Source organism: Homo sapiens, chromosome 6 (assembly GCF_000001405.40).
Source record: "Homo sapiens chromosome 6, GRCh38.p14 Primary Assembly".
Classification (NCBI taxonomy): domain Eukaryota; kingdom Metazoa; phylum Chordata; class Mammalia; order Primates; family Hominidae; genus Homo; species Homo sapiens.
Window position 1 is genome coordinate 39,899,964 of NC_000006.12, and position 27,094 is coordinate 39,927,057.

A 27,094-nucleotide genomic window follows, 5' to 3' on the forward strand; every position below is an offset into this window, starting at 1 on the left:
CCCTCTTCCAAAGGGCTCAATGTCCTGTGAGTGACGAGGGGAGATGTGGTGACCCCTGCACCCGACTCTCATCTTGGCACCAGTCTAAGCAGCACTTCACCCTCCCTCCTCAGGAGCTGGAGTATCAGAGGCGCCAGGTACGGGAGCCCAGTGACAAGTTTGTCCCTGTCATGAGCGACTTCATCACGGTGTCCAGCTTCAGCTTCTCCGAGCTGGAGGACCAGCTAAATGAGGCCAGGGACAAGGTAAGGGTGCCCCAACCCCCACTGCTTGCCAACCCAGCCTTATCTAAACAAGCTCCTTCACCCATTCCTACCACAGACAGCCCAGGAGGGACAAACCCAGAGTTACAGAGCTTTGAGAGAAAACCGTTTCTTCGCTCTTAACAAGACAAGCAATGATAACCACATACCGCAAAGATCATGGTCCATTTATCAGATATCAGGCACCATGTTAAGTGTTTTAATGATTTGTCACCACCTACCTTATGGGTTTGTTGAAAGGTTATTTCCCACTTGACAGATATGAACGCTAAAATCAGAGATGCTAAGTAACTTGCCCAAGATTGCCCAGCTGTAAGTTATAGAACTGGGTTAGAATCTGACACCACAGCTCAGCAGTGGACATGATTACCATGCCTCTATCTGCTTCTCACACTAACGTGTCCATAGACCTCATGTATGGGGGTCTTATTAAAACATGGATTCTCATTTAGGAGGCCTGGGGTCTGAGATTCTGCATTTCTAACAGGAGGTGAATCTGCTGCTAGTCCATGAAGCACACTTTTGAGTAGTGAGATCTTTCTTAGAGGATACTGAGTGAGTTGAATTAACAATGGTAGCTCTCAGTAACTCAGAACAGTGCCTGGCCTATATAAATATAGCCACTGTTTTATAGCCACCAACTCATCTAACCCCCCAACACCACTATGATGTAGATTCTATTATTCCCATTTGACAGTGGAGGAAGCTGAGGCACAGAGGGGTTATTAACATAACTAGAGGATCTTTGAAGTTCTGAGTTCTGCCAGCCTCTTCCTGACCTCAGGAAGGGCTTCCCAAGGTCTATACCCCTGACCTCATGCCTACCCCTTACAGGCCCAGGGGTGGCTCTAAGGTGGACTGAGTGAGCCCAACTCTTTACCTGCCTCTCCTTAGCCTTGTCTCTGATCCTGATGATGATGGGGGTGTCTTCTCACCTCTTCCAGCCCTGCCCCCTGTGCCAACAGTCCCCAGCCTTGCGCTGGGCTCTGCTCTGGCTAGAACCCAGCTAACCTCAGGGGCTGAGCCCAGCATGCTCCAGGGCACTCTCCACCAATCCTGTTCTGTCCCTTGACAGTTCGCCAAGGCCTTGATGCACTTCGGGGAGCATGACAGCAAGATGCAGCCAGACGAATTCTTTGGCATCTTTGATACCTTCTTGCAGGCCTTCTCAGAGGCCCGGCAGGATCTAGAGGCCATGAGGAGGAGGAAGGAGGAGGAGGAGCGGCGGGCGCGCATGGAAGCCATGGTGAGGGGCAGTGCCAGGCCTGGGACTGAGGGGAGACGGGTGCTACTTGGGGAGAACACCCCCAAACTGGGGTGTGTGGGAGGAGGGCAGAGACTGAGGAACTGAGGAACACCATAGGGGTTGGATGTCAGCCCCAGGAGAGAGAAACTTCTTCCCAGCCTGAGGGAAGAGAGTGGTGTGAAGCTGGGGGCCTGTATGTCCTAGGCAGGAAGAAAGTGGGGCCAACAGATACAGGCAGGCAGCATGACCATGGCCTAGGAGTTAGCCCAGGGTTGGGGGGCTGCCCTGGCCTCAGCGCCTCTCCCTGAGAGGGTTCCTATCTTTGGCCCCCCGCCCGCAGCTGAAGGAGCAGAGGGAACGTGAGCGGTGGCAGCGGCAGCGGAAGGTCCTGGCTGCAGGCAGCTCGCTGGAGGAGGGAGGAGAGTTCGATGACCTGGTGTCGGCCCTGCGCTCTGGGGAGGTCTTCGACAAGGACTTATGCAAGCTCAAGCGCAGCCGCAAGCGATCAGGGAGCCAGGCCCTGGAAGTTACCCGGGAGCGGGCAATAAACCGGCTAAATTATTGACCTGGGGAACTAGCCACACAGGAGGCCGGGAGACAGGGACTGGTGAGAATGGGGCTGAGTGGAGGAGGTGGTGATATTTAAACCATTTGGTGCTTGGTTTAGAGCCTTGGGCTGGGTCCTGGGATGGGGGGCTGTGTGTGGCTGGACCAGGTGTCTCCCCACGCTTACCTTAAGGGGCTCCTCTTATCTCCCCTTCACATGATTCCTTCTGTGCCCTGGCCCCAGGTATTATTCTGAGGCTGCCTTGGATGGCCTCAGGCCAGGTAACCCCAGGCTGAAGGGGCCCTGCTCCCCATCCCCTACCATGGGCACCCATGTGCTGGCACAGAACAGTTCCAGATCTAGACTGGAGAGGTCCACAGCCTTGTCCAGAGTTCCTGTGTAGCACGGGGAGCAATGATGGAGGGAGCCCCTGAGAGGGAATCTGGTGAGGGAATCCAGACTCCCTTCTCTCAAGGGGAGGCTCAACAGAACATTGACCTGGGGGCAAACTTTCCTCTTGAATGGGAACAGAGGAGGCATTATATATTCTAGTTAGATCAGCTCTGGTAGGTTCCAGAGAACAGTCAATGTTGGAAGGATGATGCAGGGACCAAAGCCATCAGGACAGAGTAGCAGTGTCTGTTTCCCATGTCACAAGTCCTCTGGCCTCTCCCTGCATGTCTTAAGTATCTTTCCCTTCCTTCTCTACCCTCACCTCCATCCTGTCTACTAATCCACAGTCCTAGAAGACTCACCTTGGGTTTCCACAGCTATGGCTCACTACCAGGTGCTTGATGAATCTGGCGAGGGGCTCAAGACAGACCTCATGCATCACCACACCTCATGCCTTTTGGGCATCTCCCATGTCCCCATCTCCTGGACACCTGGCCATTGTTGTGAAGCCAGACAGTGACCTCAAATGTTGCCTTGGAGTCCCCTACAGCCCCTCAGCAGAGGGCAGCACTTGAATGCTTAGCTCCATCCCATAGTTCTCTACTTCATATAAATTGCTCAGGCCCTCCCACCCCTTCTCTAACACTAGCTTCAAGGCAGAAGCCACAGCAGCCTCTGTCCAGCCTGCAGGTGGCCACTTGGAACCATGTGTCCACTGGCGTTGGGGAGTTGGTTCCTGAGAGGTCTGAGGGCCAGAGCTGCCCTCTACATTAACATGCTGTCTCTAAGGGTGGCCCCTCCTCTCAGGCGTTCAGATGGTGCGAACAGCAGAGCAGGCAAGGGAAACTGGGGAGATGGGGATGGAGGAGGAAGGCTGATATCCTCTGGGGAGCACATCACCTGAAGGTGCCAAGGAGGAAGGCTGAGAGGGGGGCCACCCCATTTCTGGTACCCAATTTGGTTCTTCAGCCCAACTTGCAAGGGGTTCCTTCTGGTCCTCCCATCCACTGCCACCTTCCATTTTGTCCATCTCATGCTGGCCTTGGTGGATGGGATGGCTGTATCTAGACAAAATTTTTCTAAAACTCCATCAAGGCTCTTATTCAATACCACGTTCCGAGTTGGCCTTTCATCTTCTTTGAGACTGGCCCTGCCTAACCTCTACCATCAATGAGCTCTTGGCCCTTCTGCCCTTCCCTGTGTTTCTCACTTTCCAACCTAATCCCTGGCTCAGGGTTATTGCCAGTGGAGACTGGTGAGCTGGGCCTACTCTCAGCTGCCTATCTTCTGCCTTTCACTTGCATCCAACTCCTGGGGCTGGGACCGTAGTAGCTGCGGGGGGGAAGAAACACAGGGTCGGTGAGCCCAGCATGTGCGTTGGTTTGAGGGGGCGGGCGGTGTGTGTGTGTTCTGGTGGGAGGGATCTGAGCAAGTGCAAGCCTGGCTGACACAGGTGTGAAGAGGCCATCCTGGAACCCAGGTGAGGGCAAGATGAAGGCTTCCAGGCAGAACAGCTGCAGAGAGTTTGGCTATATGCATCTGCAGCCCCAAGAGCTCCCACTGCAAGACAAGTGTTGGGGAAGATGGGAGGTTGTGGGTGAGGCCTCTAAAGGTCCTCTCCCAAACTGACCAGGCTGATGTCAACCTAACCCCCTCAGGGGCAGGGAACAGGGGAGGGCTCCACAAGCGTGTCTGGCATTCCCACCCACCATGGAAGACTGGATACGCACCTGGAAACAAAAGGACTATGGAAGCTGTTCAAGATACATTTGATCTTCAGAAAAGCAGAATTTGGTTCAACTGTTGACAGAGGACACAAATACGTTGTTCCAGAGCTCAGCCTTCTCACTCTAAAAGAAAGATATTTTTCTATTTATTTTCTACATCTGGCCAGTGGCTCTGGTGCTAGATGCCACTGTAGCCAGATCTCCAACAGTGCCTTGGACCATGGACTCATACTCAACTGAGTAAGAAGGGGCTGGTGCCCAGTCGGGGTGGCTGAGCTGGTCCTTAATAGGTTGTTTCTTGGTCTTGCTTTCTTCATGCCCTCCCCACTGCTCCTGCCACCTTTAGATAAGTTTCTCTAGCTAATTTTGTGGCCAATGTAAAATTCGTCATCAACCTAACAAACACAACCTTCTCAGCAGCATTTCTCCCCTGTGATGGAAATAAAGTGTTTAGGGCAGTGGGAGGAGAAAATTCTCCAGGTGAATGGGGAAGGGTCTGTTCCAGCCTCTCCCTACTCCCATCCCATTTCCACCAACTGGGGAACTGTGACTATCTATCTCCCCCGACTTCTACCAGGGATGCCTTCACGCCAAGGCTGTTCTCACCAGCTGCCTCAGATGACAAATGAGGCTAATGGACATAATCTACAGTGTCCTTTTTCACTTGCACCTTTTTTATAAGAATATATTGTAATACTAAAAAATATTAAATTCATACCATCCCTACCCAGTCTGCCTTTAAACTTGTGCCTTCTTCCTATGAGGGGATCTGGGGTGGGCTGAGAGTGTGCTGGAGCCAGCTTGTACCAGCTCTGTGAGAACCAATTGTTTACATTTTCAGAAATTTTGCAAGCCATTTGACATACTGGTAGCTTGAAATTATTCAACATGGGAGTATTTATATCACAAATTGTCTTTTCCAGAGAGCTGGTTGTTTAATATTTGCCAGCACACCTTGGCATAGGGCAGAGGGGAGGCAGGCAGGGGGCACCACTGAGGACTCAAAGACATCCAAGTTAGAGAGCCCAGCAGGCCAGAACTGTGTGTGTTTGGGATGTGAGAACCAGGAGCCTCTAATTAATTGCCCTCTCTGATCTCTCTAATAGCTGGTAATGCAAGCAATGAGCTTTGAACACCCCTGGCCACCACCTGACAAAAGATTTCCCTTAGATGGTGCATTTCTATGCCCCCTACTCCACTTTATTTTCCCATAGCGGGGCTATACAGAGAGTACACCCTTAGGCCTTTCCAGGTCCCTCCTCTTCTTCCCTCAGGGAACTGTGTCTTGGGATAGGATTGATTGATTGATTGATAGGTGCAGCCTTCCCTGTGAAACTGCAGCAGCTCAGTGCCCTACCCACACAGTGTCTTCATTCTTGCATCTGCAAAGTTGGCATCGTAGCTTTATTTGTGCGCTGTGAGGGTGAAGGCAATCTATCATCAACTTTTCTTTCCCTGATATGCTCCAGAATAAAGAGGGGTGGGTGGAACAGCCGTGAACAGGGCCAGGTGTGGGCTGTGTGGTCTGGCAGGAGTCCTTAGGGCTATGGCCCATGTGTGCACATCCTGTTTCAGAAGAGGGGGGCCAGAGGAAAAGGGGCCAGCAGGACCGGGCAACTGTTAAGCTGAAAGGCTGCAAGTCTGATGGGACACAGACTTGGGCAGAAGGAGAGATGAAGTCAGGACAGGACAGGACAGGGCAGGGCTGCGGCTTCACAGACTTAGGGAGGCAGAGCTGCCGGGGAGAAGTTGGGATCCATTCTTCAGGCAAGCTTGTGCTTTGCTCTCCTCAAAGTGGGCTCCTCTGCTTAATGAGCGCTTAATCTCTCCCCAGGAAAGCAGGAGAAGAGAAAACCCAAAATGAGAAGGAAAAGTTCTGGGCTGGACTGTCGGAACCTGGTTGTCTGAAATAGTCCACAAAGAACATGATTTCTCAGTTATCTGGCATTGCTTGTTGCAGTCCCGCTCCCACGACCTTAGTGTCCTGGAAGGCTTAAGGGCCTGCTGGTATCCTCCCTATAGAAAGGAAGCCCCATTGGTCATTAGAGATCATCTAGCAGCAGGCCTGTTTGTTAGTAGTAGAGCAGGCTGACTTCGGGTTTACTGCTCAAGGTAAACAAACAGTGACTGTGATTAAAGGAACCTGACGTCTTTCCCTCAGCCTACATTGCATCCCAGCTCCAGGCCTGGGTGGGCCATGGGTGAGAAGGGCAGGTGCTAAGCCCGATGGAAGTCCCCCCGCTGACCACCAGTCTTGCTAATGAGCTTGATCTCCTCCAACACGATGTCCCTGCTGACAGCCTTGCACATGTCATACAGGGTGAGGGCGGCCACTGCAGCAGAGGTCAGGGCCTCCATCTCCACCCCGGTGGGGCCCCGAGCCCGGCAAGATGCCTGGATCTTCACGGCATGGCGTGTGCTGTCCAGCTCCAGCTGCACCTGGATGTGGCTCAGGGCCACGTGGTGGCACAGAGGGATCAGCTGGCTGGTCACCTTGGCTGCCTGGACTCCAGCCAGCTGGGCCACCACTAGGGCATCTCCTTTCTTGAGCTGGTTCTGCTGGACAAGCTTGAAGGCTACCGGTCCCAGGAGGACCACGGCTGAAGCCACAGCCACCCGCTCTGTGTCTGGCTTCCTGCCCACATCTACCATAGCTGCCCGTCCTTCCGAGTCCACATGAGTTAGTTGTTCTGAGGTTAGCTGGGGTCCTGAGGGGGCAGCAGAAGCCCAGGAACCTGGGCTAAGGCACTTTGAGTTGGCATCTGAGTCTGCACGGGAAGTGTAGTGTCTCTGAAAGGAGCCAGACCCCAGCCGCTGCTGGGCTAGAGGAGGGGTCTGGGGGACCCTGCATCCTTTCCATAAAGTGGCCACCTGGCTGGAGAAACTCATTCTGGGTCTTAGACCCTGAACATGGAGCGGGTCCCAGGAGAAAATGCTTGGATTGGCTGGTGGGGAATTGGGGAACATCAAAAATAACTCTGCAAGGCAAGAAGAAAAGAGAAGAAACACTAAGTCCAAAAGGCAATTCTTTTTCCCACCTCTACTCCCCAACCCTCTCCCTATCCCACCTCAAGTTCTCTTTCATACCGGGGAAAGAGGAATGAAGAACAAAAAGCATAGTGGGACAAGACAAAGTAGAAGATCCACAGATAGATGGCACCCAGAGTCCAAGTTCACAGCCCTTCTCACCCAGTGATGTACAGGGTAACAGCCCTCCTAGAAACTGCTGTGCCACCGTGGCACAGGGTTCCCTCCACATGAAAACCTTCTCAATTCCCAAGTTCTCTCAAGCAGCACCAAGTTGAGGCCTGGATCACATGACCTCTGAATGTCCCTTCATTTTCTTAAAACTAGAGCTAGGTCTCACTCTAAATTACCAATTACACCTATTTTTATCTTCACATTCTCCATGAAGAGTTAATATAACCACTTAGTTTACAGACAAGATAATAAGGGGAATTTGTGATCTACTTAAATGTTTTTCAAGTCCCCTGAAGCACATGAGAAGCACATACAAACTGACGGGCTAATTCAGATGGTGCAGAGGGCCTAGGGAATGGTGCAGGCTCTTGTTACTCAAAGGGTGGTTGGCTTATGGACCAGCAGCACCAGCAGCACCAGCACCACCTGAGAACTCACAAGAGATGCAGAATCCCACCCCAGACCTTCCAAGTCAATCCAAAAGGACAAAATCCCCAGTGATTCACATGCACATGAAATTCTGAGAGGCCCTGTCCTAGGCAACTCTTGGTTGTATAGAAAGCAGACTGGTTACTCAATATCTCTGAAAGTATGAGGCAAATGCTCCCCCAGCTTCCCACTTCGCATCATACTCTAAGCCCCAGACATGTCAATGTCAGAGGGGCAGCCTCCCTTCTGGGGAGATGCCATCAAGGCCATGAAGGTGCCTCAGCATGGGTCAGGGCCCAACAAGAGGACTTGGATGCTGGGGGTGGGAGGAGAGGAGATGAGAGTCTTCTTCCCAGTGGCAAGCTACCTTTGCTTTCCCGGGCAGCCAGTGGGCAAAGATGGTCCTTGGGCTGTCTCTAGCCTGCCTTCCCCTCTGGGCCACTGAGTTCCCTCTGCTCTAACCTCTAAAGAAAGGATCTTTCCTCTCATCTTTTCTCCCCCCTGCTTTTTCTTTCCTAGTGGCACAGTTCAGGGGGCTCAGAACTGACTGCGAGCAAAGGGTCAAGGCCTCACCTGCTATAATCTGGGCACCGTGACAGAGGGGCAACAGCCACCCTACAGCTCCTCAGTGACCAGCCCAGCCCCCAGGGGTAGGAGACCACATAAGGACTTAAAACCAGGGGGCTTTTGTTTGAAGCATCCTACACACACGATGATACATCCTATGCAGATGTTCCTGAGAGTTAAGGAATTGGGAAGTTGAGGTCTTGGCCATCATTACCTCATGTTACATGTGAGTAACATTATTAACTTGCTGCCTCAAGATCTGCCCAGCACAGACGTCTGGCCACACATCCACCCGTGGGGGCTCATGGTCCAGATACACCGTGCATGGATCATTGGGTACTACAGAGGACACCTGTCACATTATCCAAATGGGAGATTTTAGAGCCGAGGAAAAGGCCTCTGTTTTAACCAGGATTTCAATTCTCAGGGAGCCACTAACTTAGTGATCATTAAATCTGGCAGACCATCCCCCTGCTCTGATGTCTGGTGAGACAGAAGGATCATTTCTGTGGCAGGTATAGTAAGGGGGATCATGAACAGTGGGGGAAGAAACAGTAAAACCTTGAAGGTTAAGAAGAGATGAAGGAGGAATAGAAGAAAAACAAGGATGAGAAATCAGCATGAAATGCAGGAGCTGGGGGTGCCTATGGCACGGCTCCCACCCCACGAGATCCCCAAATGACAAGGGTGAGTGGTTACGTACTGATGGGTCACCCACCGATGAGGATCATGGGCCGGTTCTTCATCTGGGAAATACTGAACATGCCTGGGGTGAGGGAAAGATGGGGAGGGAGAGGAAAGCAGGGGAGGGGGAGAGGGAGAGGAAAGCAGGGGAGGGGGAGAGGGAGAGGAAAGCAGGGGAAGGGGAGAGGGAGAGGAAAGCAGGGGAGGGGGAGGGGAGAGGGAGAGGAAAGCAGGGGAGGGGGAGGGGGAGAGGGAGAGGAAAGCAGGGGAGGGGGAGGGGGAGAGGGAGAGGAAAGCAGGGGAAGGGGAGAGGGAGAGGAAAGCAGGGGAGCGGGAGAGGGACAGGGCGGGGAGAGGAGAGTTCACTGAAACAAACGCGCTTGACAGCCCCGAGCACATGCACTCAGCTGTATGACAAAAGGCCCCCACATGTGCACTGCGAGGTCGCTCAAGGCTGAGCCCAAAGAACAGTCTGTGGACATCAGGACCCTGCCCTCCCTAAACAGAAGGCCACGTGTGGGATGAGAAAGAAGCAATGACACCCCCTTCTCCCCACCTAGTAAAACAGCCCAAGAGAATCTGGGGTCCCCTCTCCTGTGCAGCCTCTGCTATGACTTTTCCCCATGGAAGGAGAAGCATCACTGTACCCTGAGTCCAGAGGGCCAACAGCAGTGAGTGGTAGTGGGGATGATGCTGACTCTCGCCAGCTTCCCCCTAGGTGTTCCTTGGTCATCTCACCCCACAACTCCACACCTCCCTCCCAGGGACAAGGCCCACTCACCATCCAGGCCAGCCCTCCCCACCCTGCACTTACCTGCATGCTGCCGCTTCTTCCTGCCCACAGCAGCCCCAATGATTCTCAGCAGCTCCTGCTCAGAGGCCCCAGCTCGCAGGTGATCCCGCAGGGATACCTCAGAGTTTCCAAAGAGGCAGACCTACATGTGGGTGAGGACAATATGCCTTCCTTACCCCTGAGCCTTGGCCTCCTGGCCTCTGAGGAGCTAACTCCTTCCCTGGTTCTCCCTCCGGGAGGAGCACCAGGGCCCAGGCCTCCCATGGCAGGGCCCCTAGCAGTGAGAGACAGAGGTGCTGTAGGGAGGTCAGAGAGGCTAGAAGAGCAAGAGGCAAAATTCGACTTCCCAATACCTATATGTGAGTTACAGTCATACTTCCCTCAGTGTATTTTTAAAAAACTAAGTAGATGCCAACAGAGATAGCATGTAAAAATCCAGATCTCTACCTTCTGAGACACTTGCTGGAATGGCCACTTTATCACCATGAGAATGGCCCCCAACCAGTTGGAGCTGTGTGTGTCCTGGAAGTCTCCTACCCCTGTTGTGGCACACACATCCCATTTCACCTCAGCCCCTCCAAGTCCCTTGTGGACATCACCTGACTGCCCTGTACCTATTTGAGTCTGTGATCACTGCTTGGAAGCTTCAGCTGAGGGCTGCTGGGCATGACAACTTAAGGTCAAACTTCACTCAATGCTTCTCAGCTTCTGTAAGAGGGATGGATGAGACAGCCCCAGAAATCAATATACCTACCATCCTTCCACCAAAACTTATGAAGCATCTACTCTGTGCCAGCTCTGCACAAGGCACTGTGGCCACAGAGAAAGAAGAATGTCTGAGAAGCTTCTGCAGGCAGAGACCACTGGAGAAGATACCAGTGAAATCTAGGATAGGTCTAACTGCTTCAGCGTGCCTGTTATTCCTCATGCCTCGCTCCCCAACCAGCCTCCAGGTTCCCTTCTCTGCAACAAAGAGGTTCCTCCTGTGGACTTCACCTGGTACCACCCTCCCCTCCCGCCCCCCAGCTGGCTCCTGCCTGGGAGATCAATGGGTAAAGGGAAAGAACAATCTTCAGGCATTTCTCCCCTACTTCCTCCCTGCTTTGATGTATCTGGCAGCAGCTGCTTCTCTGCACAGCTCAAGTGCCAATGAGGTGGCCTCTCTTCTAAGGCTCCAGCCCTTCCTGGGCCCCAGTGACATCAGTGCCTCCCCCTTGCCCTTCCTAAGTGGGAACAGCACTTTGCTGCTGCTGGTCCCAAGTACCTCAATATCCTTTATTGGTTCCCTTAATCTTATATGTTATAAATAGCTTCTTCATTACATTCTCTTCAGAATCCCACCTTCCATTTCCTGCCAAGACCTCACAGATACAGATACCACCTCTAGTCCAAGTCAATTCCGTATCTCCAGCCCAGAAAAACCCCCAAGCTTTTCAGCAACCTGCTGGATGGTTCCTTTTGGATTCAAACTGCATGCATCTAAACCCAACCCACCATCATCACCCTCCCACAATTGTAAAAGATCCCAAGGCCTTCCAGCTACCTTGATGCCTTCCTCCTCTCCTTCCGCGAACATTACCAAGCTCTCTGAGTCTTCCTTCCCTTCAATTCACACTCTAACATATTTGGAGAACCACTGAATGGCCACCTAATTGGTCTTCCTGCCATCACACCCAGCCTGTGGCTTATAAAACATACATGGGGGATGTCTCCCCTGTTCAGGAACCTTACGCAGCACACTATTGTCCACAGAACACATTCTGAACCAAAGCCCCCTACAATGTAGTCTTCCCATAGCTGACTTTAATCTGCCCTAGCCCGCCCAACCAGTATGAACCCTATGTATGCACCCTCCCCTCCCCACTTCTGCCCCACCCATTCTTCAAGGCTCGCTGAGGTCTGTAGTGCTCTTGATGCCCTGCACTCTCACAGGCTATCTAGCCACGCGTGTGGCAAGGACTCTCGTGCTGCCACACATTGCCTCTGTTTGGTCTTGCCTGTGAGTCTGCATAGCCCTGACGAGAAGGGGTCCCGACATCCCCCACAGGGACGAATGCACAGGACATGCTTGTTAGATATGAGTAACATCCATTTCTGGTTTCAGAGCTGAGCCCCTGGCCTGGTGGAAGGGGCTAACCATGGCGGGGGCCAGGCAAAATGCACATTGATCCTGCAGCTCCATGAGAGCTGGAAAGGAGCTCCCAATAAACCAGAAGCTACTTCAGGGCCCCACAGAAGGAAGGAAGGAATCAGGGTGACATTTCCAGAGGGGCCATGAGTTCACCCTCACCTGCTGCTCCCATCATGCCCCCAAACCTGACATTATTGCACCAACCACCTCCCCCGACACCGTGCCCTGCCAGCCTCCTCTCCAATCAGGGAGCACAGGTGGGAGGAGACATGAGAACACAGAGGTGGCAAGGGGTCCCTGTGGAGGAGGGGATGCTCACCTTGAGGTTCCCATCAGCTGTGATTCGCAGGCGGTTGCAGGTCCCACAGAAATGCTCAGACATGGATGTGATGAAGCTGATCTGGCCTTGGAAGCCAGGGATTTTAAAGGCCTGGGCAGGGGAGAGTGGGAGCAAAAGGGCAGTGGAGGGGATGGGCTACTGAGCCCAGTTTCTCACTCCATGACATCAGAACCTCCACTCCTCAACCCTCTCCCAGAGGACCCCACGTGAAGCTCCACCCAAGGCCCTCAGGTGATAGAAGACTCTGGTAGGATGGATGACCCATGGGTTGACCTATGCCTGGCTTGCCCTAGATAAAAGCTGCTAAGGCAGGGACCTGTGGGCAGCATGTTTAGAAAAGTCTGCGTGGAAGCGGGATGAGCACCCCTCTCTGCCACTTCCTGGAGTGTGTCCTCTGACATGTTACTGAGCCCCCCACCCTAGCCGAGCCCACATCTTCATCCATGAAACAGGGAGGTGGTTGTGATAGCACTGATGCTTCCTGCTTAAATGGTACCATCCCACATCACAGCATCCCCACCACAGTGCAGCTCCCTGCTAGCTCTCCATCCTAGGGTGGAGGTACGACCTTCCTCCAGGCCTGCCCCACACCCTCCTGCTCCCTAACCTTGGCTGTGCTGGATTCCTCCTCTGGCACCTTCTCCAGCTCTGGCCACTGCTGCCGGACAGTGTCTAGCATCTCCTTATAGCTGACCATCTTCTTGAAGTTCCACTTGTTGCCTGTATTCGGGATGGGGGAAGGCAAGGGGAGCTTCTGAATCACAGTTGAAGGGGCCCCGGGGTCTTTGAGTCCATCCCCTGCCACAGCATAGCAATCAGTTCTCCAGCCTCTTGGAAGGGAGGGACGGGGGCTCTGCCTAAAACTGGTGGATTGAATCACATCCACAGCGGGCTCCGAGAAGCCACCAACAGCCCATCATAATCCTAGACTCACTGCCCCTGAGGTCAGCCATACCCAGTGGGTGAGCCACACTATGCGACCTGCAGGCCCAACCCCTTCTTCCCTCCCTCAACCCATCCCTGGTCACTGACCATCAAAGGGCATATACTCTATGAAGCGCACATCCAGGGGGAGGCCCTCAGTCAAGGCCGCAAAGTCCAGGAGTTCATCCTCGTTAAGGCCTCGCATCACCACACAGTTCACCTGGCCGGGGAACAATGGGACCATGAGGGCTGTGCCCCCTGCATTCTTTTGTGGAGATGACCCTTGGGGGCCTGGCACTCACTGAGGCCTTCCACTCAGGGACCCATTCCTTGCTTCTCCCACTCAGTTCTCTAAGTTACGGGATTCCTTGGGGTCACTGATTTTCTCGTTTCTCTCAAGGGTCGGCAGGGCTGGACCAGCAGGGAGAGAAGAGGTGGAAGGGTGCACGTACTTCAGCCATGCTGGCCAGAGCTGAGGGCTCTCAAGTGGGCCAAGGGGCGGTGAGGGGAAGGCCAGGGCAGTGTGGAGGGAAGTCGGGAATCTACGGCAGGGGCACGGCCTCACCTTCACAGGGTTGTAGCCCAGCTCGATGGCCTTGTGGATGCCCTCCATGACCTTGTGGAAGCCTGGGAGGGAGAAACAAGGATCCAGGAACTTCTGTCCTCTCTCCTCTTCCCCCACACCCCCACAGAAAAGCACCAGAGCCCATCTAGTCTGGAGATTGGCAAACGTTTTCTAAAACAGGCCAGAGTAATATCGTAGGCTTTGCAAGCCAAGAGGCAAAATTGAGGATCCGTGTAAGTACATGTCACAAAGTGTTGGCTAAATTCAAAATGTAATAGTAATAACTGACTACAGTGTCTTGTAAAACAGATCTACAAATGGGATACAATAATGCGATTCTTTTTGCAGGGACAATATTTTGCTTAAATGGGGTTCATAGTTAATGTTCCCTATCATTAACTGATTTTGAATGCTATCTGTAAAATGCATTCTTGGCTCAAAGGCTACATGAAAACAGGCAGGGGGCTAGATGTGGCCTGTGGGCCATAGCATGCTGACCCTGGATCTAGTTGAACCCTCTTGTAGTCTACGGGAGGAAACCAAGACCCAGAGTGAGGCAATGCTCTGCTCAAAGCCCCATGGCTCCATCTTTCAGAATGCAGGTTTTCCACTCCCGTTTCAGTGTTTTTTCCTCAACAGTCCATCAATTATTCACTCAACACATACTCTCTGAGCACCTACTACGCACAGGTGCTGTTCCAGGGCTGGTAAGCAATTATTGTCTCAACAATCATTAACCACAGTCAATGTGACCCCAGGCTGACTTCTCACTGCCCAGTTCTCTCATGCATCCAATCACTTGATCACCTACTGCATCCTGGCCCCCTCCAGCACCCCCAGCCTGCACAGCCTGGGTGGTCACCTGTGAGACAGGGTGCCTAGAGATGGCCTCCATGGTTTCCTTGCAGCATTTTCAGACTGCTCAGTGAGAGGGTAAAGGGAAAAATGTATAGCTTTGAAAAAAATAATGCTGCTAGGATAACCTAGAACTATAAGTTTTCTTTTCTGTAAAACACTCCCCTCCAAAGGCAGGTGGTGGACAAAAGAGTATGAATGGGAGGGAAGATCTGATGTCTCCAATCCATGTGCCAGGAAATAAGAGACAAAAAGGGAGAACGTGTTTGCGGGCAGTACAGCCCACAGATCCACCTCCCACTTTCCCACCGTAGAGCCCTTGCAGGTTCTGTACTCCTGCTCCCCCTCAGAGTATGTGCCATTGATTGAAACCCTCCAGTTCCTCAAGGCCAGCATGCATGCATCCTCCTTGAAGCCCTCCTAGTTCTCTCCTGCTAAGAGTTCTTTCTTCCTCTCTGTAACTCTTTAATCAGTACCACAAGACAAGCAAAGGCTGTCCCATGGAATGACATCTTTTGGCCCTTAGCAGCCTGTAAGGACAGGGCAATGTCTTATGTGTCTTCTGTCCCCTCCACAGCACCTGGAGCAGGCCTCCATAGAGGAAAGAGACACCATGAGTGCTTCCTCAGCACATGGAGGGTATTAAGCAAGGCATCACACCCCGTTTAAGAAAAGGAAGGAAAGAAGGTGGTGGGGCTGATCTTGAAGCTGTTTCCAAGGAAGAGGAAGGAGATCTGGGTCTCCCTGCCACCCCTCTGATCCTCCAGAGTCCTCAGTCATGTACCCCCTCCCAAATATCAAAGGGTATCCCAACCTGAAGAGCCTTTGCCCCAACATGAGGTCCATGCCAAAGGGAAGCCAGGCACTGGTCTCCTGTGACCCAGAGCTCGAGGCTGGCTCCACCTGTCTACCTTGGGCCTCCTGAGGCAGGTGAGTGGAGGGTATGGCTGTGCCTGTAGTAGGAGGTGCATAGGAGGGGCTTATACCCAGGTGGGCACAGGGATAACCATGGGGGCCTGCTGGGGGACCCCCTCCTGGCAGCATACACCCAGACCCTGGCATCCCAGGGTGGCTACTTCCACCCTGGGCTGTCCCGTGTTTCTTCAGAGCTCATCGTAGAATGACCAACTCGGCCCAGTTTGCCACAGACTGTCTTGGTTTTAAAACTTCAAGTCCTTCATTCTAAAACCCCCTCAAGTCCTGGGCAAACTGGGGCTGGGGTGGTGGGGAGGTTGGTCACCCTAGGTCATTAGCGTCTGACCCCCAAAGTCCCTGACATACATTTGGCAAAGATGAGGGGTGAGAAATAAGTGCTTTGACTTACTGATAGCCCAGACACCAAGAGGAAGTGACCAGGCCCCTGGCTCAGCAATGGCCATGCCCTCCCCAGCTATGTGCAGGCCCTGGGAGGGACACCCACCCCATCCACATCCGCTCACCTTTCCTGCGGACAATGAACTCAAACTTGGCAGGCACCAGGGTGTCCAGGCTGATGTTGATGGCACTGAGACCAGCCTTCTGAAGCTGGGGCAGTAGCCGGGCCAGGTTGATGCCATTGGTGGTAACACCTATGGTTCTCAGCCCTTCCAGCCGCTGGAGCTGGGCTGTAAGGACAACAGAAAGGGGGTCAGACTGCTTGCTTGTTCTTGGTGAGGCCGGGAAAAGGGCTGGAAGGCAAAACTCTTTGTCCAGACAAGATGGATGGAAAAGAGGCTCTCTGCAGACCTATATTAACCAGGCCTAACTTAAAAAGAAAGCTAAGAATCAAAACTGACAAAAACAACCAAAAGATTAAGCATTGAGTGCTCTGTGCTAGGTGCTCTGCTGAGGGCTTTGCATACATTAGCTCATTGAAGCCTCACAATAACAATTATCTCATTTAGTAGGTAAGGAAAGAGGTGCTCTGAAAGATTATGAAAATTGCTTAATCTCACACAGTAAGAAGAGCTGGCATTTAAATCCATGTGTACTTGACTCAGGACTCTGCTCTTAACAACCAAGTACTACACAGGTCTTGATACTCTGTATAATGGAAACAAAAGTGTTTGAATTAAGTGCTATTTGACAGCTCCATTCTACCAAATATCCCTAGAAATAATGGAAGGATTTTAAAAATCCATAATAGCATTGGAAGGTAAGAAAGAATGCCGTAGATAGCCCAGAAAGGTAAATTAGTACTGAAAGAGAGAAAGCAGATGGAACCGACCAGACGGATAGAGACCACAGCTCAAAGTGCACCCAGGAGAAGGTTCTGTAAAAACAGGGAGTGACTAGTGTGCACGCAGCTTAGTAGTCACATGTACAGGAGCAGAGGGGTCCTACTACATGTCAGGGAGGTTGTCTAAGAGGGGAGTTATATTTGAAGGAGCTGGACAGGTTGGCCTCATCCTTCCCTGTCGGCACGGGAAGGCAGCAGAAGCATTTGCCTCAAGGATAAAGCACCAGTGCAGACACTTAAGCCAGCCATGGGGCTGTATTAGTTCCTTCTCATGCTGCTAATAAAGAAATACCTGAGACTGGGTAATTTATAAAGAAAAGAGGTTTCATTGACTCACAGTTCAGCATGGTTAGGGAGGCCTCAGGAAACTTACAATCATGGCAGAAGAGGAAGCAAACACGTCCTTCTTCACATGGCAGCAGCAAGAAATGTTGAGCAAAACAGGAAAAGCCCCTTATAAAAATCATCAGATCTCGTCAAAACTCACTATCATGAGAACAGCATGAGGGTAACCACCCCCATTATTAAATTACCTCCTACTGGGTCCCTCCCATGACACGTGGGGATTATGGGAACTACAATTCAAGAAGAGATTTGGGTGGGGACACAGCCAAACCATTTCGGGGGCAAGGCCTGAGTCCTGGTGACACTCAGCAGTACCTCACACCCCTTCTCCACAACCTTGGAGCAACCCAAACAGAAACACAACACAAACAACATTGCCGGGCAGGCCAACAGAGACCTCAGGCACTAAGATGAGTACACCGCCAAGAATCAACAAACATTTAAGGAAGAAGCATGAAAGAAAGATAACTACTTCCCCAAATAGAAGAATGAAAGGAGGAGGAGAAGGAACAGTGATAACAGAAGATAATTCTTTTAAAAAGCAGAGGGAATATCCTTATTGGGATAAATATTCAATCTTGAAAATAAACCAAGAAAAAACCCTAATTAGGGCTCTTGAAAATTAAACAATATATAGTTACAAGAAGAAAAAACTTGAGAAGCAGAATGAACACAGGAATGAATGAGCAAACTGGAAAATTCAGCAAAGGCATTCTTGAAGAGCTGGATACAAAAGATCAAAGAATGAAAAGAATGAGTCTGAAGAAACACACCTGCTCACATTCAAATCCAAGAAGATCTAGAGAAAAGATAAGCTATGAAAATGTACACAGTAGTTATCTGTGATCAATAGGATCATAGGTGATTTTTGTATTTATTTATAGGTAAAATTTCTTTCTATAACAAACACGTTTTCTTTGATAATGTGGGTGACACACATACACACCCCTCCCCCTGAATTTTAGCTGACCTTTGCTACATGGACAGTGCCACTGACTACACCCTTCCAGCCACCAGACCAGTTGTTTCCAAGAAGCTATGTAAACGTATGTCTCTATGAAGACCCAGCTCAGCGCTGCAAGAGAGAGGAAACCAAGAGTAAAGTGCTCAAGTGAAGCCAAATATTAGAAAAGGCAGAATGTTACAAAATTCATCATCAGTTTAAGGTAGGGGTGCATGGGAATGCACACAATCATGGTGTAAGAATAAAATCATATAATCTTTCTGGAGAGAAGTTGTACATGAATTTTTAAAGCCTTTGACCTGAAATTCCACTAAGAATTTAAGGAAATAATCACGGATGTGAATAACATTTACCTACAAGGATGTTCATCACGGAGTAATGCATAATTAAGGAAAGTGGGAAATAATCTAGAGAGCCAACAATAGCAAACTGGTTAAATTATGTTTTCTCTGGATGACGGAACATTATGCAACCCAAAATGACTCTATAAAATCATACATTAGGGTGTAGGGAAATGCACGCACTATATTACGTAGAGAGAACAGTAACAAGAGATGCAGTAAACACAAGATGCAGAGGAAAAATGGCAGGTGGGTCATCAAACCAAAATGTCAACAGTGGTTACAAACAGGCAGTAATGACATTCTTTCTGCTTTTCTGAAATAAACATAAATTACTTTTGTAAAAAAAAAAAATAATAAAGTTTACAAATAAGAGCTGTTTGAAAAAGGAAAGAGTTTCACTCTGACTCTACCAATAAGGAAAATTAGCAGTGGTTGTTCACTTCTACCAAATCAACCCCGGAGAAACACAATCTAGGCATGTAAGAACTTAACAATCTAAGTCCTTAAGAAGGCTAGTTGTTGTGAAATGGTATGAGTTAGGGGATGAATATGGGCAAAGAATGCGAGTAGATAAAGGAAAATGAAGCAGGTTACGTTGTATTCTTTCCCTTGCCCACTGAGACCTCAGCACCATCACTGATTATCCCCTTACTGAAGAAATCAGCGGCAACTGCCCAAAGAACTAGCTTAAAAGTCAACTGGAGGCCAGGCACGGTGGCTGATGGCTGTAATCCCAGAACTTTGGGAGGCCAAGGCAGGTGGATCACTTGAGGTCAGGAGTTCAAGACCAGCCTGCCCAACGTAGTAAAACCCTGTTTCTACCAAAAATACAAAAATCAGCCAGGTGTGGTGGTGGCATATGCCTGTAATCCCAGCTGCTTGGGAAGCCAAAGCAGGAGAATCGCTTGAACCCGGGAGGCAAAGGTGGCAGTGAGCCGAGATCGTGTCATTGCACTCCAGCCTGGGTGACAGAGTAAGACTCTGTCTCAAAAACAAAAAACAAACAAAAAACAGCAACAAAAAAAAAAAAAACCTGATAAGCTGATTTCAAAATTTACATGGTCAAGCCTTAGTATATGTAAAACACTGTTGAAAAAGAATAAAAAGAACTTGCCCTACCAGATAATTGACTGATGAAGCTACAGTGATTAAGACAGTTGATACTGGCACAGAGACTAACAAATGGACCAACAGAACAAAGTAGAACTTGAAACAGATCAAGTTCAGAATGGCAGATTTATGGAGGAAGTAAGGATTGTTCAATATAAAGAACTATAAAAAAATGGCTATCCATATGGAAAAAAATTACATTGAATTCCCAAAAATCATCTACAGATGAACTAAGGACCTATATGCAAATTTAAAATTTTTTGTGAAGAACGAAGGTAGGTGATCTGATCTGGGGTTAGGTGTTTCATTAACAAGATATGAAAACACTAACCATAAAAGAAAAAAACGCTGATAAATTCAAGAACTGCTACTGATCAAAAACAATCATTACACATGGTGTAACTTGTTTTTTCAGATGGGGAGGAGATATTCACAACATATATAAAGAACCTGTACCAAATAAGTACGAAAGGACAAAGAACCAAATAGAAAAATAGGCAAAAGACATGACCAGGAATTACACAGTAAAATATATTTTATATATATGTATAGCTAATTAACATGTGAAGAGATGCCAACTTCATTCTTAAACATGAAAATACAAATTAAGACCACAATGAAATATAATTTTACACTTGTTCAACTGGCAAATATCAAGAATAATACTGAGTGTTGGGAGGTCATTTGGCAGGATCTCTTACATAGGGCGGGTGAAAGTGTATTTGGCACAACCATGTTATTAAGTAATGCCACATTGTTTTCCAGAGTTAAACATTCACCTATTTTATGATCCAGCAATTCCACCGCTAGAGAAACTGTATACCAAGATATGTTAATGAAAACAGTGTTTAAAGTGGCACCGTCCACAACAAAAAAGCTAGAACCAATTCAAATGCTCACTAAAAGGAGAAAATAGGGTACATTCACATAATGTAACAGTAGACCACAGAGGAAAAAAGAACTACAACTCTGTATAACATTATGCATTTTACTTGAGTCAAAAACAATAAGCCCTGAAAGACTACACACAGCATGACACTTACAAACTTCAAAACGCTATATCTACTTTTTAAAAAGCAAGGGAATAGGCCAGGTGTGGTGGCTCATGCCTGTAATCCCAGCACTTTGGGAGGCCAGGGCAGGAGGATCACTTGAGCCCAGGAGTGCAAGACCAGCCTGGGTAACATGGCAAAACACTGTCTCTACAAAAAATACAAAAATTAGCTGGGTGTGGTGGTGTGCGCCTGTAGTCCCAACTACTCTAGAGGCTGAGGTGGGAGGATCGCTTGAACCCAGGAGGTTGAGGCTGCAGTGAGCTGTCGTGCCACTGCACTCCAGCCCGGGCAACAGAGCTAGATCCGGTCTCCCAAAAAAAAAAGGGGGGGGGACAGGGCAGCAAGAAAACGATAAATAGAAAACTGAGGAACACTTACCTTAGGTGGCAGTGGGGTGGGGGCAGGGTACAGTATAGGGAAGGCCCCATAGGTAGTTAAAAGTTATTGCCAAATGGCTGGGCGCAGTGGCTCATGCCTGTAATCCTAGCACTTTGGGAGGCCGAGGCGGGTGGATCATGAGGTCAGGAGATCGAGATCATCCTGGCTAACACAGTGAAACCCCGCCTCTACTAAAAATATAAAAAATTAGCCAGGCATGGTGGCGGGTGCCTGTAGTCCCAGCTACTTGGGAGGCTGAGGTGGGAGAATGGCGTGAACCTGGGAGGCAGTGGTTGCAGTCAGCTCAGATCGCACCACTGCACTCCAGCCTGGGCGACAGAGCAAGACTACGTCTAAAAAAAAAAAAAAACTTTTTGCCAAAACATTGGTGGTATAGTGGGTTTCCTTAGGAACCACTAACATTATTAACATGAATAAAGTAAAGCAAGTCATACATGGATCAATGATGAGAATATCTCATGAACCAAGTATGATTTAACTATGATTTAACCTAATTCTATGCAACTGGAGCCCACCAAAAATAAAACAAAATGCTTTACCTCTTTTCACAATCTGTCATTGGCTTTCCATTACATTAAGCCTCTCATGGGCTTTAAGCTGTGAAATCAAGCTATACTCTACAAGAAAGGCAGGAAGGAATGGAGGGAGCGAGGAATGGAAGGAAAGAAGGAAGGAAAGAAAAAGGAAAGGAAGAAGCTGCCGCAATGAGTGATTTTTTTTCAACTTTTTTTTACGTTCAGGGGTACATGTGCAGGTTTGTTACATGGGTTAACTTGTGTCATGGGGGTTTGTTGTACAGATTACTTCGTCATCCAGGTACTAAGCCTAGTACTCAATAGTTATTTTTTCTGATCCTCTCCCTTTTCCCACCCTCCACCCTCAAGTAGGTCCCAGTGTCTGCTGTTCCCCAGTGAGCAATTCTTAAGCTAAGTCCAGCTCATCTGGCAGTGGCCAGTCGTTCGGGAAGTTAGGATGGAAAACAAGGGCCCTGCAAACTCCTCCAACACTCTCACAGTACTTGTGCGCTTAGTTCCTCTTCCTTCCTTTGGAAGACCCTAACTTTCACTGTCCAACACAGCAGCTGCTGGCCACATGAGGCTACTTAAATGAACGAAAAAATCATAAAATACAAATTCAGTTTCTCGGTTACATTAGCCACATGTCAGGCCCTCAAGAGCTATGAGTGGCTACTGTATCAGACAACACAGATGCAGAACATTCCATCATCTTGGGAAGCTCTATGGCAAGCTTGTCCAACCTGTGCCCTAGGGGCTGCACATGGCCTAGGATGGCTTTGAATGTGGCCCAACACAAATTTGTAAATTTTCTAAAAACATTAGATTTTTTGGTAAATTTTTAGCTCATCAGCTATCGTTAGTGTTCGTGTATTTTATGTGTGGCCTCAGACAGTTCTTCCACTGTGGCCCAGGGAAGCCAAAAGATAGGACACCCATGCTCTATGGGACAATGCTATTCATGGCCAAACCCGCCATAACTTTTGCACCAAGATAATGCTTTAAACCCATCTCAGCTGAAAAGAAGGGGCATGGGACTTTGTCTGCACACGAAGCAGGGTGCAGAAGTGCTGGAGAGGCAAGGGGTTGGCAGAGGGAGCCAGAGAGAGCTGAGGGGCCCAAACCCTTCCCGTGGGGTGTTCTGCAGCACCTCTCAAAGGCTGACAGAGCTTCAGACATGGACCTGAGGTGAACGGGACCTCAGGCTCGGCAGAAACTGTAACCTGCAATCCTTTTGCTCTGCCTCCAGGTGGGGGCCCCTCAAAACCCTCACGTGAGAGGGTAGGCACAAGTGTTCGTGAACATCCTGGCCCTGACTTCTGTTCTCTCTCTTCCCCCATCCCTCCTTCCTCCACCAGCACCCATCTGCCCTGCCCTTCAAGGCTGCTTTGCTCTGAAGCAGCTCCTCTGGGGAAGATCAGAGGCTAGCCCCTGAGGGATGTCAGAGTGCTCACAGGCACAGCGCCACAGGAAGTGAGGGGGTGCAGCCACCATTCTTTTTGAAGCACTGGGAGAGGGGCAAGGGGAGGTGTTTCACCCACCCCCACCACCTGGGAGGCAGGAGGTAAATCCTCAGAAGCAGGTCACTGCAAGCGGGGCCTTGTCCTAACTAGCATCCATGTGGCGATCACCCCTTGCCCATCCCATTCCATCAGCCAGGGCCAATAACCACAGAATATCACAGCAGAAAACATCCTTAAAGTGGCTCATCCACAGCTGAGGAAACTGAGGCCCTCGGTGGGGAAGGAACCTGCACAAGTTCACCCAGCCAGAGAGTGGCAGAATGGGGACAGAGCTACCAACTTTCCTGGCTCCCATTCTTCCCTCTCTGCATGCTGGGGTTTCCCGGGAGAGCCCCGAGTCCTCATACCAGTGCTCAGCCATCCTGTACCTCCCTGACCAGTGAGTGATCCTCATCCCCTCTGCTCTCTCACAGGTCCTGGCACAAGGCGGCCCATGCCCGCGGGTGCCAGGGAGAGGAAGTGGCCTGGATGAGGGGGCTGGGCCTGGCAAGCAGCTGGTTCAGCAGGTTCAGCCCTTTCCTGGCAGCCAGCCTGCCTTTTAGCCCTGAGGAGCTGCCTGGAACATGGGGTCAGCTTGCCTGGGCCAGCTCAGCCAGCACAGGATGACAGAGGTTCCCAGGCCAAGTGACCAGTAGGAGCTGAAGGGAGCTGGCCATGGGGCAGGAGGGAGAAGAGGGCTGTCAGGGGGACCTGGGCCCCTCCTTGGGACTCTCACAGCACCTAGGCTCCCCTTATACAGCAGCTGCTTCCTCCAGTGGGCCACAGGTCCTCAACAGCAGGGCTGGTGCTCATTCATCTTCGTGTGCTCAGCACAGTAGGAGGCATGCAAGAGGGCACTCCAGCGAACAATTACTGAGCTAGAGAGCTGAGGGGCGGGGGGTCCTGTCCAAAGCAGCTGGACGGGGCAGCAATCAAGAACATGGAACCTCATAGCCCCGATTTCATCACCTATAATTACATGAGCAAAGGTCTCTTTCCTGATCTTGGGGTTTAGAAGCTCATGGCAAGAGGCCCTTTAGAGCTACCTTTACAGAGCACTTGCCATAGGCTGGGCATTTCATTCTCATTCCCTCCTCAGGTCAACCTTATAAGGTAGGTACTATCACTGCCTCAAGGCTTAGAACAGATTTTAAAAGTTGCCCAAGGTACGCTTCTTGTAAGAGGCACAGTGGAGACTCAGATAGGAATATGCCGTACTGCAGAGACTACTCTGACCCAGTCTCCATTCATTCAGCGAATTTCAGGGAGCATCAACCACGTGTCAGGCACGGTACTGGATGCCAAAAACAAAACCTGCTCCAGCAACCTGAGAGCTTTCACGCCAGCGAATGCAGGAGACAGACAATTAAAGAAACCAAACACACAACCCAAACACACAGTGCCAGGATGAGATAAATGCTATGAAGCAAAACAAAGTAGGGTAAGTGAGTAGGGCAGGGGTTGCCACACTTTTTCTGTGGAAGTCCAGATAGTAAATATTTTCTACTTGGCTGGCCAGCTTTGCAACACAGTCTTTGTCAACACCATGCAACTCTGCCAAAGCAGCCATGGGCAATATGTAAATGAATGGGCATGGCTATATTCCAATAAAACTCCATTAATAGACACTGAACATATAGGATTTTATAATTTTCGTGTGGTAGAAAATGTTATTATTTTATTTTTTTCCCCATTATTTAGGAGCATAAAAACCATGGCAGGATGCAGTGGCTCACGCCTGTAATCTCAGCACTTTGGGAGGCCGAGGTGTGTGGATCACTTGAGGTCAGGGTTTCGAGACCAGCTTAGCCAACATGGTGAAACCCCGTCTCTGCTAAAAACACAAAAAATTAGCCAGGCATAGCGGTGTGTGCCTGTAAGCCCAGCTACTCTGGAGGCTGAGGAAGGAGAGTCACTTGAACCTGGGAGGTGGAGGTTGCAGTGAGCCGAGATCCTGCCACTGCACTCTAGCCTAGGTGACAGAGCGAGACTCTATCTCAAAAACAAACAAACAAACAAACAACACTCAGTTTGCACGTTAGACAAAAACACATGTCGGCCCAGATTTGGCTGCTATAACTTGCCAATTTCTGGGAAAGAGTGGCTGGTGTGAGTACATGAGGACGCACTTTAGACAGGATGGTTGAGGAAGGCCTTGCTGAGAAGATGACATGTGAACAGAGACCTGAATGAGGTCGAGGAGAGTGCCCTGAGCTCCTAGCAAAGGGAACAGCACATGTCAAGGCCCGGTCATGTGAATGGGAAGGAGGGGAAAGGTGGAGAAGCCTGCAAGGGTTTTGGAGGTCAGCAAGAGCCAGGTCACGTGGGCCTCCTGGAGGACCTTGGTCTCAATGTGACAGCAAGCTACTGAGGTCTGGCATTTGCGAGCTTCCTGACCTTGGGCAAGTTATCCAACCTAAGCCTCATTTTCTCATCAAAAATGGAAATAATAATAGCACCTGTCTCAGCAGGTGTTGTAGGACCAAGAGAGTGTCATGTGCTAAATGAATGTCAGCTGCCACTGTTAACATCGGCATCAGTGTCCAGCCGGATGAGGCAGCGCTGGGAGAAGTGGCGATGACTTTCGTCCAACTCACCCACAATGTCCACCACGTCCGGCCGGATAAGCGGCTCTCCACCTGTGAGCCGGATCTTGTCGATGCCTTCCTTCACAAAGAGCCGGGCGAGGGTCAGGATCTCCTCTGTGGTCAGCAGGTTGGCTTTGGGGGTCAGCGGGACCCCCTCCTCGGGCATGCAGTACTGACCTGAGGGAAGGATGAATGGGAATGTGGAGGGAGGAAAGAGGCACGGCCACAGCCCCGTGATGCCTCCACTCCCCAACTCTCCATCAGGCCAAAGGCTTCTCAAACCCATCTGGATGTGAGCGGAGACCTCACTAAACCTGAGGTGGAAAAACCCCAGGCCAGCATCTCCCCAGGCCTCACCTTTCTCATTTCTGAAACGTTAACACCTTTCCCTATGCCCAACACACACAATCTGGCCATAACATCCCTCAGTGGGAGGCCAAGGGCATGGGTTAGAGATGAAGTAGGCTGAGGGCAGAGCCTGGCCTGACTTCCTGGGCTGAGGGCACCTGGGCAGGGGCGTTCCTCCTGGCATTGTCACCCATCCTCCTGCATTTCACTGGCTATGGCAAACAGGTAGCTTTCTCTCTGTGTGTCATGGGGTGAGAGAGAGGTACTCTCTGGCCTGGCAAAAGCTGCCGTCCTCTGTAGCTACAAGCATTCTCAAATCCACTCTATCTATTTCAGGTTATCATCAGACCCATTTTATATGTTGGAAAACTGAGATACTACTTGTTCATGGTGAGGTATCAGAATGGGGTAAATGAGGTGAGCAGCGGCAGGCTGTGGAAGGGCCACCATCCTCCACCATCACTTCCTGTGGTGCAGTTTCATTAAGGTTTGGGTCAAGATCTGTTAGAGAGTCATGAAGGCAAATTACTCAGTTGGGTCCAGAACCAGTCCTTTGAGACTGAAGAGAATAAGTAAGACTACCAGAATGTAAAGCATATAGTACATCTTGTTTGGTTAAAAAGTTACTAAACATACATGCATGCATTTATTGGGCCATGAAGTAACTTTATTTCTTATCGTGAGGTATAGTGAAAGAAAGTGGGGAGGAAAAGAAGGGGGGGAAGGGGGGAAGGGGAGGGGAAAGTGGGGAGAGGCAGAAGGAAGGAACAGAGGGGAAGGAAGATCAACTTTGGAAGTCCCTCCAGCAGTGGCTACAGATCCAGAGCACTCTTTGGGAGGATTATGAAATGAGGCCTCTTTGTTATTAGCCTAGCCCCAGCTGATTTGTCACGGGACTGGGGCACCTCCAGAGTCAGCAGTGCTGGCATGGGCATGGCTGTCTACTTCAAATGTTTATAATGTCCACCACCCCACCCCTGGCCATGTCCTGGACTTCGGGAACTACAGGGAAACAGGAGGAAGGACCCCTGAAGAATGAGA

The 27,094-nt window shown here is 50.2% G+C and overlaps 2 protein-coding genes across 28 annotated transcripts in view; one reads left to right on the forward strand and one right to left on the reverse strand.

Moving 5' to 3' along the window:
• Nucleotides 1–4,906, forward strand: part of DAAM2 (dishevelled associated activator of morphogenesis 2) — a 112,494-nt gene extending 107,588 nt beyond the window's left edge. For 18 of the 19 annotated variants that reach the window (XM_047418533.1, XM_047418534.1, XM_047418537.1 and 15 more), the window contains 3 exons: nt 114–245; nt 1,339–1,509; nt 1,850–4,906. In XM_047418533.1, coding sequence (XP_047274489.1) covers nt 114–245; nt 1,339–1,509; nt 1,850–2,074 — 528 coding nt within the window. In that variant the 3' untranslated portion in view covers nt 2,075–4,906. The remainder of the gene's footprint in view (nt 1–113; nt 246–1,338; nt 1,510–1,849) is intronic. The other variant, NM_015345.4, reaches the window with a different exon arrangement.
• The window catches only part of MOCS1 (molybdenum cofactor synthesis 1), a 30,293-nt gene continuing 7,405 nt past the window's right edge, over nt 4,207–27,094 (reverse strand). For 4 of the 9 annotated variants that reach the window (NM_001358533.2, NM_001075098.4, NM_001358534.2 and 1 more), the window contains 9 exons: nt 25,715–25,882; nt 16,105–16,269; nt 13,811–13,872; nt 13,354–13,465; nt 12,929–13,041; nt 12,301–12,411; nt 9,872–9,992; nt 9,077–9,139; nt 4,207–7,154 (listed from right to left, as the gene is read on the reverse strand). In NM_001358533.2, the coding sequence (NP_001345462.1) occupies nt 9,084–9,139; nt 9,872–9,992; nt 12,301–12,411; nt 12,929–13,041; nt 13,354–13,465; nt 13,811–13,872; nt 16,105–16,269; nt 25,715–25,871 (897 nt within the window). In that variant the 5' untranslated portion in view covers nt 25,872–25,882 and the 3' untranslated portion in view covers nt 4,207–7,154; nt 9,077–9,083. The remainder of the gene's footprint in view (nt 7,155–9,076; nt 9,140–9,871; nt 9,993–12,300; nt 12,412–12,928; nt 13,042–13,353; nt 13,466–13,810; nt 13,873–16,104; nt 16,270–25,714; nt 25,883–27,094) is intronic. The other 5 variants (NM_001358531.2, NM_001358530.2, XM_047418828.1 and 2 more) reach the window with 2 other exon arrangements.